The sequence below is a fragment of the Homo sapiens genome, chromosome 1 (genome assembly GCF_000001405.40).
Source record: "Homo sapiens chromosome 1, GRCh38.p14 Primary Assembly".
Lineage (NCBI taxonomy): Eukaryota > Metazoa > Chordata > Mammalia > Primates > Hominidae > Homo > Homo sapiens.
Window position 1 is genome coordinate 149806493 of NC_000001.11, and position 16798 is coordinate 149823290.

At 43.1% G+C, this 16798-nt stretch overlaps 2 protein-coding genes across 3 annotated transcripts in view, besides 2 other annotated features; both read right to left on the reverse strand.

Annotated features, from left to right (window-relative positions):
* H2BC18 (H2B clustered histone 18) overlaps nucleotides 1-5878 on the reverse strand; it is a 29682-nt gene extending 23804 nt beyond the window's left edge. The window contains exon 1 of one of the 2 annotated variants that reach the window (NM_001161334.2): nucleotides 5455-5878. In NM_001161334.2, coding sequence (NP_001154806.1) covers nucleotides 5455-5831 — 377 coding nt within the window. In that variant the 5' untranslated portion in view covers nucleotides 5832-5878. Of the gene's footprint in view, nucleotides 1-5386 lie in introns of those variants that run through there. The other variant, NM_001024599.5, reaches the window with a different exon arrangement.
* Nucleotides 5538-5617: an enhancer, noted in NCBI's record as "active region_1653". NCBI's record gives its function as "activates an Ori minimal core promoter by ATAC-STARR-seq in GM12878 lymphoblastoid cells {active_cell/tissue: GM12878}" and the evidence as "EXISTENCE:reporter gene assay evidence [ECO:0000049][PMID:35858748]".
* H3C13 (H3 clustered histone 13) lies at nucleotides 6733-7201 on the reverse strand. Its single transcript, NM_001123375.3, has one exon. It carries the CDS (start codon nucleotides 7187-7189, stop codon nucleotides 6779-6781), a length of 411 nt encoding a protein of 136 aa, NP_001116847.1. The 5' UTR covers nucleotides 7190-7201; the 3' UTR covers nucleotides 6733-6778.
* Nucleotides 6841-7130: an enhancer, noted in NCBI's record as "active region_1654". NCBI's record gives its function as "activates an Ori minimal core promoter by ATAC-STARR-seq in GM12878 lymphoblastoid cells {active_cell/tissue: GM12878}" and the evidence as "EXISTENCE:reporter gene assay evidence [ECO:0000049][PMID:35858748]".

Consider the following 16798-nt stretch of genomic DNA (forward strand, 5'->3'; position numbering starts at 1 on the left):
CAGGAGAATCGCTTGAACCCAGGAGGTGGAGGTTGCAGTGAGCCGAGATTGCACCACTGCACTCCAGCCTGGACAACAGAGCGAGACGCGAGACTCCGTCTCAAAAAAAAAAAAAGTTATGAGATAAGGAATACCAAGAAGTGAGGAAAGAAAAGGAGGGGAGCTTGTTATCTTACCTAAGATGTTCAGGGAAGACCTCAATGACAGTTGGTAAAGTAACTTCTGAGCAAAAGCTTACAAGAAATTAGGAAGCCAGTCATGCAAGTATCTAGGGATGAGCCTTTGAGAAAAGGAAATAGCAAGTGCAAACATCCTGAGATAGAAGGGCCTTGATGTATTCAAGGAAGTACAAGGAGAAAATTATGATGAAATGGAGCAAAACAGGTAAGAGAGAGGGTCAGAGAAGTGAATGTGGGCCTTGATGCTGAAGCCATTGGAGGGTTTTCTGTTGAGGAGGAGTATGGGAATGATATGATCTGACTTATGTTTCAAAAAGTGTACTCTAGCTGCTTTGTGGGAAATATAGGAAGGAGAGAGCAGAATCAAGGAGGCCATTTAAAATGCCATTGCAAATATCCAAGAGAGGTGGAAGCTTGGAGCAGGGAAACAGTGGTGGAGGTGGTGAGATGTGGTTGGATGCTGGACATATTTTGAGCCAAGAGGATTGTCTGATAAATTGCGTTTGGAAAATAAGAAAAAGCTTATTCACTCACCAGCCTAATAGTCACACCAATCTATAATCCCAGCACTTTGGGAAGCCAAGGCAGGTGGATCACTTGAATCCAGGAGTTCAAGACCAACCTGAGCAACATAGTGAGACCCCATCTCTACAAAAACAAAAACTCTAAAAATTAGCCAAGCATGTGGCATGCACCTGTAGTCCCAGCTACTCAGGAAGCTGAGGTGGGATGATCACTTGAGCCTGGGAGGTCAAGGCTGCAATGAACTGTAATCATGCCACTGCACTCCAGACTGGGTGACAGAGCAAGACCCTGTCTGGGAAAAGAAAAAGGCATGGCGGGGGGGGGGGGGGGCGGGCATGGTGGTACACACCTGTAATCCCAGCACTTTGGGAGGCCGAGGCAGGCAGATCACCTGAGGTTGGGAGTTCGAGACCAGCCTGGCCAACATGGTGAAACCCCATTTCTACAAAAATACAAAATTAGCTGGGCATGATGGCTGGCATCTGTAATCCCAGCTACTCGGGGGGCTGAGGCAGGAGAATCGCTTGAACCCGAGAGGCAAAGGATGCAGTGAGCCGAGATTGTGCCACTGCACTCCAGCCTAGGTGACAGAGCAAGATTCCATCTCGAAAGAAAGAAGAAAGAAAGAGAGAGAGAGAGAGAAAGAGAGAAAAGAAAGAATAATCACACCCCAAGAAAATCAAGCTAGGACCATGGTGAGCAATGCTCCAAGAGTGTTCTGATGCTGTAAACTGAGTATGATGTGCATAAATTGTTTTGCACTCTGCAGGTAGGAGGGTGGGATAGCCAAAGCTGTTCAATATAATAATATTAAAAAATAAAATCTCAATTGAAGTAAAATACAAATTTTCTTAAGCAATATTTTAAAGTAAATGGAAATGTTACAACCTGGATGAGGGGTGAGGAATTAATAACCTCTAATCACAGAATAAAAATGGAATGAGAATTCCATCTACCCAAATCAGACAATTAAAAAGTTGAAAGAGGTTACAGTAAAAACTGGGTAAAACTAAAACTTAAAAAATAATTTCAGAGGATACATGATATACTCGTCACACAGAAAACTCCAGTTGAACCTTATGGACTTGAGGAATGGATACCTTTGTGTCTCCATCACTTAGCACAGTAGCTGGCACCATGTAAGTTCTCACAGAATTTTCCTGAACTCTCCAACCAGAGGCAACCTTTCACTCTCCATTCACATAACATTTCCTTCTTTCTCTTCTTTTGGGAATAACATATCTTGCTTGAATTATATTTATCTTTATGCCAGTTTAATTCTCTCTTTTAGATTCATTTACATCTTTGTATCCTCTAGCTCATTATTTTTTCAAAATAAAATGGATTAACATAAAAAATTATTAAAGAGATAAACTAAAGGAAAATATTACAACCTGGCTGAGGGGCAAAAATTTTATGTTCAACATATATTTGATAATACATACTGAGAAAACACGGTCTACTTTTACTTTTCAAAAGTTTGTTCATGTTGACATTGTGGGGCCTAGAAGATTTTTATCAAGTTTTCTATTTTTGCCAAGTCATATGATCTGCTATAGTTCAGCTATAGTTAATCAAATGTAGAAAAGAAAAAAATTTTCCATAATATCTAGTAATTCTCCAAAACAAGCTTGTTCCTAGTTAAACACTGACATTCTTTGGTAACTCTCACTTTATCCCACAGAGGTCATGTACTTATTTCCCATCTGTTGTCCTATGCTTACATTCCAAATTCAGTTGCATTGACTTTTAGAACAGCTTTAGGAACTGCACCCAGTTTTAAAATACATTATTTGTCTAAAAATTATGACATGAGATTAAACTGTCATCTTTGTAGGTTTCTACACATACTCCAACTCATTCACCAATCCTTGAAAAGATTATGTAACCAATCTCAATGCCCTGACCCAGGCCAAGCCCATTTCTACATGTGCAGTGTTCTCTGGATCTGATATTTAAAGCCCCTTATCCTGATACTACACACCTTTTGTCTTCTGGAATGCACCTCTCTTCTCATCCTTTTTCAAGGCACTAGAAAAGCAGACCATTTCTGCAGCACCTCAAACCAGGGTGAGAAAGCTCCACTCTAATCTCATCATTTTAGCTACATAGATACATCGGCTCAAGGGAAGATGCCAAGTGTAGTACTTTACCACTCTGAGGATTTTTGAATCTATAACAGTTGTTTCAACTGGGCCAATAATTATGAAGGGCAATAATTAAAAGAGTATCCATAGTAAAGGAGTAAGAAAAAAAGTTAGAAAAAAAGTAGAGAAAAATATTTACTAGAGTATTTACTAGAACCCACCACTCTCAGATCAATTTTCTAGTGTTCTGTTGACTGGCAACCAGTCAACAAACTTTCATTGAGAAGCTATTTTATAGTAGGCATTGGGATAGCCTTTGTGGAATAAATACCGAGAAGCATATGTCTCTAGCAGAAGACAGACAAGAAAATGTAAAAACAAGAAAAAGAAATTGAGGAATAAGCCTACAGTTTAAAAAGCTACACAATTATTCGTTATGCAAGGAATGAGGCCTTAAGAGAAAGACTTCCCTGTGAACTACAATGAGATGAAAAAGCTTCTCAGAGTGAGATTTGAGCAAGAGTTTAAAAGAACTGACAGACTGATAAAAAGCTTCAAGTAGTCCAGAGGACTGAGTACTAAAACTCAGAACAATGTAACAAAAGCACAGAAGACAAAGTTAAAATGCTTTACATGACAGTAGAACATTTAGGCTAAGCTGGAGGACTGGGGAGAACAAGTGAAGAAGGTAAGTTTTGGCTAGATAATAGGTGGCCTTTAGTGTCAGGATGAGGATTTGGAAGTTAATCTTTTGGTCAGTGGATAATAAATGATGGCATTTGTGTAGTTGAGCCAGTTGACAATGCTTTAACAACTTCAAAAGGCCCTGAAAAACATGGTCCCTAATCCTTAAGAAAAAAGGAACTCCTGACTTCAGGACCCTAAGCTAGGAGGAAATTGGATAAATTCTCTTATGGCCCAACTGTATAGAAAATAGACCACCTCGGCCGTCTCACTTACTGAGTAACCTTTCCTACCAGAGAATGTGCTATATATGATTTCTTTACTTTCAACGGAAATTTTGGATTCTCAGTTATCTTTCCCTGACCTCTTGTCTGGTGATCAGAAAAAGATGACTAAACTGGGAATCTTTATTTTCTAGTGGAAAAAAAAAATCATGTATACCGCATTTTATATCTTTTAATTGGGTGTAAATTTGAATTTCAACATCATAAAAATTAGTAAAATTCATTTTAAGCACAAAGTTGTTAATTCCCCCAAGATTTATCAAGAATGGCTTAATTTCAAAGGCTGTCAAGTTAATTATAAGCTAAGATTTTCCAGTTGCACCAAGGGTATATTTTATTTGGCAAAAGAAACATCCACTGGCTTTTGTCAGGATGAGTCTTGAGTTATTCAAGTTTTGAACTGAGAGGTCTTCAGAAATTCACCCCACATATTAACTGTGGCCTTCTCTACACCACAAATTCCCCTCCACTCATCCTCAAATTGTTTCCTTTCTCAGGACATCTGTGACACAAAGACTGTGACACACCCACAGGTCGATTAACATGAGGACCCAACACCTATTAAAACATCCACACTCCTGAGAACACTAAAAACCAACCACCTCGTCAGGTCCCACCTCCAGTCTAGCTGAATCAGGAAACCTCAGGAGAAGCACCTGGAAGCAGGTTTAACAAGCGCAAAGGTGACTCTTATAATTGGGAAAGTTTGGAACCAAGACAGGGTTCTTGTCCTGGAGGAAGTATTTTCCTGTGGAGAAGGACCTGTAAACAGCCTATGAAGTGCTCAGCTTTCACCAAGAAAAGAAAAACATGGGCTGATAGGGTTAAGGAAACGTTTGACTGAAGAGGATTAAATCCTGAAGGTTAGGGATGTCTTTGGGCGCTGGGGTCTCTCAATCACCAAAGATCGACATTACAGGCCAGGTAGCTCTTTGTCCCCCCAGAGGACTGTCCTGTGCCTTATGCTTAGCACTCCTGGCCTCTGCCCATTGGATACTTCTAGCACCTCCCCCGCAACACACACACACCTGACAACCCAAAACATCTACAGATATTGCCAAATACTCCACAGGGGGTGGGGTGGTGGCAATATATCTCCCTGTTTGAAGTCACTGGAATGGAAGTTAGGGGAGGATGGCTAAGTCAGGACTTGCAAAAAGGCTAAGGGACGAAAGCACATGGCTATATTAGACAAAGTTTGTGACAGACGCCTGTAGGTATATGGTAAGGAAAACAGATTAAAACACTAAGAAATAGTAAGAGGTCGGACCGAGGGTTTCTCATCTGTATGGGAAATCTCATCTCGTTCATTACTTTCAGAAACAAAAAGGAAAACGACTTTAAAGATACAGGTTAAAGGCCGAAGGGGTGTAGAACCACCCCCCGCCTCCTTCCCTCCATCCCTCCCAAATATCCCAGAACGAGTCAAACCTTTCGAATCTCGTAGCACAGATAACAAGCAACTCAGTAAGACTGGACGGGGATGACTGAGGGCCAACTCATTACAGGACTACAGGAAACTCCTTAGTCCTAAACCCGAATGCATCCGTGACCATGGTAACACTCCCTACCTGACCAAAAGCTATCAAACGCTCTGACAAGTGTTTACAGCTGCTTTCTCGATTACTGAAGTGGCTCTGAAAAGAGCCTTTGGGGTTAGGTGGTTGATCTATTGCGTCCCTTGCACACTCTTACTTCGAGCTGGTGTACTTGGTGACCGCCTTGGTGCCCTCGGACACGGCGTGCTTGGCCAGCTCGCCGGGCAGCAGCAGGCGCACGGCCGTCTGGATCTCGCGGGATGTGATGGTGGAGCGCTTGTTGTAGTGCGCCAGGCGGGACGCCTCTCCCGCGATGCGCTCGAAGATGTCGTTGACGAAGGAGTTCATGATGCCCATGGCCTTGGACGAGATGCCGGTGTCGGGGTGGACCTGCTTCAGCACCTTGTACACGTAAACGGAGTAGCTCTCCTTGCGGCTGCGCTTGCGCTTCTTGCCGTCCTTCTTCTGCACTTTCGTAACAGCCTTTTTGGAGCCCTTCTTGGGAGCAGGAGCGGATTTCGCTGGATCCGGCATTTTTGCGCGAAAAAAGAGAAAAGAGACTTAAAGAAGTAATCCGAACTACCGCAAAACGGGCTGGTTATGCGCTACTTATAGAGCCCGTATGCAAATGAAGACTCGCAAAGTGCTGCGCTTTCATTGGTTAACTTACAACGGTGTCGTCAGAGGGGGTGGAGTCTATGTAAATAATAGATTCTAGTCTTGCTTCCTTAATGGTCACTGTAACAAAAGTCTTGTTATCCTATCAGAATGGTCCATTTCACACTAACCAGTTTTAAGCTAGGTGAAGCGATAGTTTCTACGGCTTGGGGTTTTTTCTTGGTTTTCACTTTCCATTAGACTTGCATACGGAAGAAATCTTAACGCCAGCTAGACAAGTTAACTCTCTTGCCTCGTTTTTGCATTTTTATTCTATACTTTGTGGAAATTTTTTTCTCTTCCTTGAAATACTACCTCACCCATTTTTAAAAATCGCCAGATATTTACTCCCGCCCGCTTAAATTACTATTCTGGCTTGGACACCGCCTGTAGTATGCAATGAGGAAGATGCTGAGCTTTAATTAAGCTTATAGTTCCTAAATAAACCAGGAAACGGGTTTATAATTTTTAAGGGACTCGCCCCACCCTTACACTCAGGATCTTCCACATCTAGAAACTCCCCATAGTCTCTTGCCCCCATGCAAAACTTTACCCACAGAATTGGGAGCCGGACCTCTAGCCTTAAACCAGCGTGAAAACGCTCGGCCGGAACCACAAGGACCATGCCTCTGCGGCTTTCTCTACTGCCGGCCAACTCACGGCTGGGCTTTGGGTTCTGTAACGTCACCCACCACGAGTGCCCCTGGCCCCTGACCGCTGCGCAAGGCAGACGCACATCAGATGGAGAGCCGGTACAGCTGCTCTTGATGAAAACGGCAGTGGCTCTGAAAAGAGCCTTTAGATCGACCACTTAAAAATATGCCTTAGGCCCGCTCCCCGCGGATGCGGCGGGCCAACTGGATGTCCTTGGGCATGATGGTCACGCGCTTGGCATGGATGGCGCACAGGTTCGTGTCTTCGAACAGCCCCACCAGGTAGGCCTCGCTGGCCTCCTGCAGCGCCATCACGGCCGAGCTCTGGAAGCGCAGGTCCGTCTTAAAGTCCTGCGCGATCTCGCGTACCAGCCGCTGGAAGGGCAGCTTGCGGATCAGCAGCTCCGTAGACTTCTGGTAGCGCCGGATCTCCCGCAGAGCCACGGTGCCGGGCCGGTAGCGGTGCGGCTTCTTCACCCCGCCCGTGGCCGGCGCGCTCTTGCGGGCCGCTTTGGTAGCCAGCTGCTTCCTCGGGGCCTTGCCGCCGGTCGACTTGCGGGCAGTCTGCTTAGTACGGGCCATGCTGTCTCATTGATAGGAGAGGGTCTAGGCAGTCATATTTATAGACATAGTCTCCTCTTGATTGGGCCTGAAAAGGAAATTTTCAAACTTGTGATCTCATTGGTTAAAATTCAATCCTCTTTACTGGGGCGGAAGATTGTTCTGCTAATCTTTCTTCCCTTATTATTTCCCCCTTTCCTGATTTTTTTCTGTAATTTTATCGATCACGGATTGTTTTTGAAGACTTTCCTTTAAATTAGTCTAACTTTTGTAAAAGCAATGTATAAAGTGTTTTGCATCCCATTTTAACAGAGATTTTTTTTTTCCCCGAATTCAAGCATGCCCTTCTATGAGCTATCAGCCTGTTTCAGGTTACCTGTTACTGTAGCTCTTCTACCATAGCTAACATTTATTTCATGTCTGGCATTTTGCTCAGCAAGTTAGATGCATTGTATACCATGAATGACCGAAGCTTAGCAAAAAAATATGTAATTGAAGGAATGAAAAAATTGATCTTATTTACTTGACCTTGGAACCCAGCCAAAGCCATTTCATGTGGGTAGTGTGCTGACCTATATTGACCTGATATTAGAGCCTCTGCCTTCCTTTAGTCTTTTCTCCCTGCGATGTGGTTCCTTCTTCCTCAACCTCACATCAATGGCCAATTAGGTCCTGCAGATGTTAAGCTTCTAAATCAAAGAAGGACAACACCAGAAATTCATTTCTCCTTTACAATGTAGAATAGTTTGTAAATTAGTGCTTATTAGCCAGATTACAAGTTCAAGTTTCAAAGCAAATTATTCATCAATTGCTGACTTGCTAACATTTTATTCAATAAAGTATTTTATAATGCTTAAAAGTTTAGTTTTTTTTCTGTTCTCTATGAAGAGAGTAAAGATGCTTTGCTTTTTCAATTTCATGTGCTTTGAAGTATGTATTGTTCAGAACAGTAAATATCATAGTGGTTATGTAGAAGCAACTGATACTTAAAAGTTGTAGTAGTTAATATAAAACTTTTAATCATATCCTTATTTTACTAAAAAAATCATTACAAACTATAAAAACTCAAACCTGAGAAAAGCAGGCCCGAAACGCTTAAAACTTACTTTGATGGTGTCATTATGAACTATCTTCCTACTGAAGTCAAAGTAAAGTAAAAGTGATTTCAAGGGGACTTCCTGAACACTAAACACAAAGTAGAAATCTGTGAGCTTAATTAATATCTTCAAGAGTCTCTCATGGGCAGAAGCATCCTCCTCTCGAGAGATCTAAAATGTACAAAAGTGTAACTGATGTGAACAAATGTTATCCCTCTCTGTGGTAGTTTTGTAATAATGCCTTACAGACAGCAGGCACTACTCAGTGTTTAAAGTTCTTCTACATACACTTTATCATTTAATCCCTACTCTGTGAAATAGATGTTACTCTTCTCACTTTACAGATAAGAAAACTGAGTCTCAGAGAAATTATGGCTTGTCCTGGGTAAGTAACAAAGCCTGTGTAATATTCTAAAGCAAAAGAATGAAACTGTAATGATGAAACTTTCTATTTCATTAGGCTTAGAGGATACCTTTTTTTTTTTTTTTTCATTTGAGATGGAGTCTCACTCTGTCACCCAGGCTGGAGTGCAGTGGTAGGATCTCTGCTCACTGCAGCCTCTGCCTCCTGTGTTCAAGCAATTCTCCTGTCTCAGCCTCCTGAGCAGCTGGGACTATAGGCGCAAGCCACCACCCCCAGCTAATTTATTTATTTATTTGTATTTTTAGTAGAGACACGGTTTCACCATATTGGTCAGGCTGGTCTCGAACTCCTGACCTCAGGTGATCCACCCTCCTCGGCCTCCCAAAGTGCTTGGGTTGCAGGCATGAGCCCCACGCACCCAGCCAACACAGTTTAAAGCACAAAAGCGTTTTCCCATCAAGCAATCACATCATCTAGTATTTCTCAAACATCTACACCCAACTATTCCCATTAGAAGGGAAAACTACCCCATGGAATCTGGATGATAGCCCAAAGCAGCCCACCCAAGCATCACATTTCTTTGCAATATACTTTCTCTATGATGTATGCAGTCTTGACCATAATGTAGGATGTGTTCATTTAAATAAGAAAATGGCATTCAATCAGACTTTAATGGCTATAGGTATCATTTCTCAGAATAAAACAATCAGATGTATAGTTGCCTTAAAAGTCATCTTTAATAACAGAATTCAGATCAATTGTTAGTTCAATTTCACCTAGTCCCCACATTGGACACTAGAGTGACATTTCTGTGAAAGGTCTCAATCCACCACTATATCAGAAGCAACTTTATGGTGCAAAAGAAGCTCTGCTTTTCTTCAGTTGTAACAAAGACGGAATATTCCTCCTAAAATTTTTGAAGTGTCCTTCAGCAGAAATTATAAGGCTGTGCAGCTTGAATACTGAGAACAGAAATTTCATTAGGTAGCACGGGGGAATAGACAAGAGAAGATTAAAATTTACCTAACAAGAAATAAGAAGGCAAAAGAAAATATTAATAAATGAATTATTACGCACATAATGTTTTGTATGTACATGTGTTTACTTTTAATACAAAAGTAACGGACTAAGTTAACATAGATGTTCCAATAAGATAATTTATGTTTCATTTTTGGCTTCAAGTATCCTCAGGGTTATAAGTATCATAAGCTGAGACCAGCTGAATTGGTTTGTGGGTTGATGAGGCCCTATGCCTGATTTGAATTTCTCTTGAATGGTCTGCAGCCCTGGACCAAGTTGAAGAAGCCATGAGAGTCTCAGCTTTTTTCCTTACCCCATTATGAGATAAACTCATTCCTTAAATATCTTGCTCATTTGATAAAACTTGGCACCTTTCTCCTTTCTACTGGTCCCTAATACTTACTACCTGTACTGTAAGCTCAAATTTTTTGCAATTTCTGCCTTTATTATGTAACGTATTCCACTGGAATATGTGTTACAGGAAAGGGGTCCCGATCCAGACCCCTAGAGAGGGTTCTTGGATATCCAGCAAGAAGGAATTCAGGGCCAGTCCATAAAGTGAAAACAAGTTTACTAGGAAAGTAGAGGAATAAAAGAATGGCTACTCCATAGAGAGAACAGCCCTGAGGGCTGCTGGTTGCCCATTTTTATGGTTATTTCTTGATTATATGTTAAACAGGGGTGGGGGGGTGGACCACGCCTATAATCCCAGCTACTCCAGAGGCTGAGACAAGATCATTTGAACCCCGGAGGCAGAGGTTGCAGTAAGCTGACATCGCTCCACTGCACTCCAGCCTGGACCACCCAGGGATAATCCGTCCCCCGCACCCCGCCCCCCCAAAAAAATCACTGCCAGTAAGGAACAAACAGCCAGGACGAAGTACTAAGATGTAAAGAGATGTAAAATAGCCCGGGCGCGGTGGCTCACGCCTGTAATCCCAGCTCTTTGGGAGGCCTAGGCGGGCAGATCACGAGGTCAGAAGATAGAGACGATCCTGGCTAACACGGTGAAACCCCGTCTCCACTGAAAATATTTTTTTAAAAAAAATTAGCCAGGCGTGGTGGAGGGCGCCTGTAGTCCCAGCTAATCGGGAGGCTGAGGCAGGAGAATGGCATTAACCTGGGAGGCGGAGCTTCAAGTGAACCCAGATCGCGCCACGGCACTCCAGCCTGGGTGACAGTACGAGACTGTGCCTCCAAAAAAAAAAAAAAAAAAAGAAAGATGTAAAATAATGTGATACATTCTGCAAGAGTTATGACAGAGTCAGAAAGGGGCAAGCATGTTTCTTCTCTACCCTGAAGCAGCCAAGGGAGAAGAAGATATCTGTTGCCAACGCTGGGGTGTTACAAGTGCACACTGCCATGCCCGGCTAATTTTTTGGATTTTAGTAGAGACAAGGTTTCACTGTGTTGCCCAGGCTGGTCTCGAACTCCTGAGCTCAGGCAATCCACCCGCCTAGGCCTCACAAAGTGCTAGGATTACAGGCGTGAGCCACCACGCCCGGCCTATATATGCATATTTTTTTCTAACACTTACATACTTTTTCTTGGTGCCAAGAATGTTTTAAACACTTTACATGTATTAACTCATTTTATCCTCACAAAACCCTGTCAAGTAGGTAGTGTAAGTATGTCCATTTACAGATTGGGAGATGGAGGAATCACAGAGCGGTTAAGAAACTTTCTCATAGTCACACAGTCGGTGCCAAACCAGATTTCAACTCCAGAGTCTTCCTTTAGTCACTATACTACACTACTAATATCAAATAAGTAAGATGTTGATGCAACATTGATAGTAATTTAAAAGATTAGAAACAACCAAGAGCCGGGGTGTAGTGGCCCATGCTTGTAATTCCAGCATCTGGGAGCCCGAGGCGGGCAAGTTTGTTGGGAGTTGGAGACCAGCCTGACAACATGGCAAAACCCTGTCTCTACAAAAAATATAAAAATTAGCTGGGCGTGGTGGTGTGCGCCTGTAGTCTGAGCTACTTGGGAGGCTGAGGTGGGAGGATCGCTTGAGCCTGGGAGATTGAGGCTGCAGTCTGCAGTGAGTTATGATCACACCACTGCACTCCAGCCTGGGCAACAGAGACCCTGTCTTAAAAACAAAACAAAACAAAACCACCTCCGACAACGTAGGAATGCTGAAATGAGTTATGTTAATTCTAAGTAAAAACTCAACCTATCCCAATTAGCCCAAGACCACTACTTAGTCTACCTAAGCCAAGTCTGTTGACTTGTTACAATGAGGGAGAACACACAACAGAGAAACTGGTGGCAGGGTGGTGGGAGGAGGGTGCTCACCAAACGAGGAAAATTAGAGTTATCAATGATTTTGGGGGATGAGTGGAGTGTAGTTTTCATAGGCTCAAAGCAAAGCAGGGCTGTGTGAAAGGGTAGGCATAGGATGGGACTTTGCAGTGGATCCAGGGTCTTGTTTCCTCAGAAACTACAACGTTGAGATAGAGGTGGAATGCTGTGTTCAGAAACCCCTTACTTGAAGTTTTTGCACCTGGGTTGAAAATTACTGCTGGTTTTTTGTGTCAAGGTGGCTTAGGTCCTCCAGACAGGAGGGGGATACTGCATTGTTACTGATTGATAGGATTTCAAGCAGCCAAAGTTCTGATAGTCTGTGATTTTGAGTACAAGTTCCTCAGTGAATAAGAAAGGAGTGGTCACTCAAAGAGGGGAGTTATGAGCCTTTATAGCTGTAGCATGCCCTTGGGAGAAGAATGTTTTCTGTCATTTCTAGTCTAGCTTTATCTCTGTTAGTGCAGCCTAATGAATGGCAGAACAGGTTTTGATTTTCTCAGTCCTAGCGAATTTCTGCTTCTCGAAGTGCATGTTAGTGGTAATGTGTTTTATATCTTACTTTATTTCTTATTTCCCCCCCCTTTAATCTATATTTTATTTTATTTATTTTTTACTTTTTTGAGACGGACTCTCGCTCTGTCCCCAGGGTGGAGTGCAGTGGTGCGATCTCAGCTCACTGCAACCTCTGTCTCCTGGGTTCAAGCGATTCTCCTGCCTCATTCTCCTGCCTCAGCCTCCTGAGTAGCTGGGACTATAGGCGCGCGCCACTACGCCTGGCTAATTTTTGTATTTTTAGTAGAGACGAGGTTTCACCATGTTGGCCAGGCTGGTCTTGATCTCCTGACCTCGTAATCTGCCGGCCTCGGTCTTCCCAAGTGCTGGGATTACAGGCATGAGACACCGCGCCTGGCCTAATCTATATTTTAAAAATTGAACTCTTCCATGTACCCCTGAACCTAAAATAAAAGTTAAAAACAAACAAACATACAAAACAACAACAACGACAAAAAAAAAAAAAAAAAAAAACCAGGCCGGGCATCGTGGCTCACGCTTGTAATCCCAGCACTTTGGAAGGCCGAGGCGCGCAGATCACGAGGTCAGGAGTTCGAGACCAGCTTGACTAACATGGTGAAACCCCGTCTCTACTAAAACTACAAAAATTAGCCGGGCGTGGTGGCACGTGCCTGTAATCCCAGCTACCCAGGAGGCTGAGGCAGGAGAATCCCTTGAACCAGGGAGGCGGAGGTTGCAGTGAGCCGAGATCATCCCACTGCACTCCAGCCTGGGAGACAGAGCGAGACTCTGTCTCAAAAAAAAAAAAAAAAAAAAAGAGAGAGAATTCTGTACTTTGTAATTAGAGGGGTAATTCATTAATTCATGTCAGGGGCATATTATTTTATTTTTCCAAATGCTAGGAAGCAGGTATCCATTTTTTGATAATATAAATTTTGGGATAATTGGCAGTCATCTGGCTCACAGGGAAAACAGGAAAAACAAGAAACCTAAATAAACTTCATATTGATTTCCCAAAAAAATTACCTTTTATTTTCAACCCTTATAGAACTCAACCTGCATCTCTTTGCCATCCATGTTCTTTTTTTTTAGAGACTGGGCCTCATTCTGTCCCCTAGGCTGGAGTGCAGTGGCATGATCATAGCTCACTGCAGCCTCAATCTCCCAGGCTCAAGTGATCCTCCCACTTCAGCCTCCCAAGCAATTGGGACCACAGGCGCATGCCACTGTGCCTGGCTAATATTTTATTTTTTTGTAGAGATGAGGTCAATCTGCATTAAACTTCATGTTGCTCCAACACCGCATTTTATCTCCCCACTTTCCCAGCAATGGACAACTAGGCTTGTGCCAATTCTCCATCACCACCAGAAATGCTGCAATGAACATTGTTGTATATATTCCCTTTTGGACCTATATAAGAATTTCTTTTGGATAAAAACTCAGGAACAGAAGTGCTGAGAAGCCAGAAACCAGCAGTTCTGTTCAGAGTTTTATTTACATCTAATTGAACTAAGGAGTGTCAGGCTCCCCTCCAGAATGCTTGTCCCGGACTTCCAATACCAAGGTAGCTGGACTCTGAGCCCACATCCAGGCCCAGTCCTCGGGTCATCCAACTTTCTAAGTTTTGCCAGACTGCCTGGTGTAAAGTGGTATCTCAGCATTGCTTTCGTTTTCATTGTTCCGGGTATTCATGAGTTCAAGCATCTCTACCTGAGCTTGATAGTTTTCGGATTTCTTCTCCTGTGTATTGCCTGTTCATATCCTTTGCTCCAACATTGTTTATAGAGCACTCCCTCCCTACTTTGGCATTTGGGGTCCCCTAAACTGGCCCCCATTGCTAAAGCTTACTTCTCATGACTGACCTTTGCCCATGCTGCATGTGGTCCAGGAACAATTCTTCTGTCTTTGTTTTTGCTGTCCCCTCTTGCCTGGATTACATCATCTTCTCCAAACCCCCAATCTAAACATGTCCCGAATCCTAAATATTCTTTAGAACCAAGCTCAGATATCACCTCCTCCTGGAAGGGTTCCTTTATTTGCTCAGCTGGCCTTGGCCTTTCCCTCTTGGCTCCCACAAAGCTCAACCTGCATGTATTTTTTATTTATTTATTTATTATTTTTTTGAGACGAAGTCTTGCTCTTGTCCCCGAGGCTGGAGTGCAATGGCACGATCTTGGCTCACTGCAAACTCCGCCTCCCGGGTTCAAGTGATTCTCCTGCCTCAGCCTCCTGAGTAGCTGGGATTACAGGTGCCTGCCACCATGCCCGACTACTTTTTGTATTTTTAGTAGAGACGGGGTTTCACCATGTTGGCCAGACTGGTCTCAAACTCCTGACCTCAGGGGATCCGCCCCCCTCGGCCTCCCGAAGTGCTGGGATTACAGGCGTGAGCGACCGCGCCAGGCCTCAACCTACATTTCAAGTCACCATCTGTCACAGGATACCTTCCACTCTGGCTCTGGATATGGGGGTCACCTCCTCACAAAGACAGACAGGCTGTATGTGCATACACAGAAAGATTCAGAAGAAACATGAAGACTTTTAAAATCAGTGAGATGATTTTAACTTTCTTTAAATCAGTGAGATGATTTTAACTTTCTTCTTTGTAGTTTTCTCTAGCCAGTTTTAAAAACTGTAAGTTGTAGGCCGGGCGCGGTCACTCACACCTGTAATCCCAGCACTTTGGGAGGCTGAGGCGGGTGGATTACCTGAGGTCAGGAGTTCAAGACCAGCCTGGCCAATATGATGAAACCCTGTCTCTACCAAAAAATACAAAAATTGGCCAGGGGTGGTGCCGCATGCCTGTAGTCCCAGATACTCAGGAGGCTGAGGCAGGAGAATCCCTTGAACCCAGAAGGCAGAGCTTGCAGTGAGCTGAGATTGCGCCACTGCACTCCAGCCTGGGCGATAGAGCGAGACTCCATCTCAAAAAAAAAAAAAAAAAAAAAAAAAAAAAAAAATCCAGAAAAACAAAAACAAAAAAACCTCCCAAAAAACCACAACTATAAGTTGTAATCCATAGTGCAATTAATTTACTTGGTAGAGATCATCTTTTCCTTTCATTTTGCCCTTTTGTAAGAATCATAAAACGGGAAAATATCACCAATAGTAATTATCATTTTGTGAAACTTGTTGCAATTTTTATTTTCCTGTGAATGTGACTGGGAGGCAATGTAAATGTATTTCTTTTTTCTTGTTGTTGAGACGGAGTCTCACTCTGTCGCCCAGGCTGGAGTGCAGTGGCAGATCTTGGCTCACTGCAAGCTCCGCCTCCCGGGTTCACGCCATTCTCCTGCCTCAGCCTCCCGAGTAGCTGGGACTACAGGCGCCCGCCACCCATGCCTGGCTACTTTTTTTTAATTTTTTTTTTTTTTTTGTATTTTTAGTAGAGACGGGTTTTCACCGTGTTAACCAGGATGGTCTCGATCTCCTGACCTCGTGATCCGCCCGCCTCGGCCTCCCAAAATGCTGGGATTATAGGCGTGAGCCCCAGCGCCCGGCCAATGTAAATGTATTTCTTACTGTAGACTTGAGGTCAGGAGAGTGGGCTGTACTGGACACATATTGATATTATTTGTATCTATTCCATGTATCACTTTCTCCTAAAGCATCAAATCTAATACAAAAAAAGAAAAGCAAAACACAAAACCTAGGCTCAAATTCCACCTTGGCCATGTTTTAGCCGAGTAACTCACGTTCCCCGGTGTCTAATCTTTACCAGAAACTTCCTTATCTTTAACATAGGGAAAAAGCCTTTTCTTCTTTCCAGGGTTGTTGTGGACTCAAACGAGAGGCTGTTAGTGAAAGGTTTTTGTGAGTTATGAAGCTCCTAGGAACCCAATTATTTCTGCTGCCTTGGCCACATAGTCTAGAAGAATCTCTACATAATTAGCATCTAGAGACTAGATAATTTACCCATTATTTTCCATGTGCTTGTCTTATTTCCCAGCATGACGGTAATATTTCCAAGGGAAAGATCTAGGATATATATCAAGTAACGTTTATCATAAAAATAATGAAATTGCTAATAACTATTAATTTATTGTCATGTTGAGACTCTGCTCTAAGTACTTTGTATGGACTGTATAGCAATTTATCCCTGCACGAATCCTATGAGGTATGTGTATTTATTGTTACTGTTTTACAGATATTGAAACTAAGACACTGAGCCTCTATTTTAGCCTCATGTCTTCTTTCCTTCCAGCTTTTCCCAGGCAAGTAAATGCAGGCCACAGTCTGCCAGCTGTCCAACCATTCAGGCTTTTCATTATTATAGGAAGCATCTGGCCAAGGACCACCACCATCTTCCTGTCCTGCCCCTGA

Coding starts and splice junctions, on each gene's coding strand:
- H3C13 (NM_001123375.3), bottom strand. CDS start 7,189: ATGGCCCGTACTAAGCAGACTGCCCGCAAGTCGACCGGCGGCAAGGCC.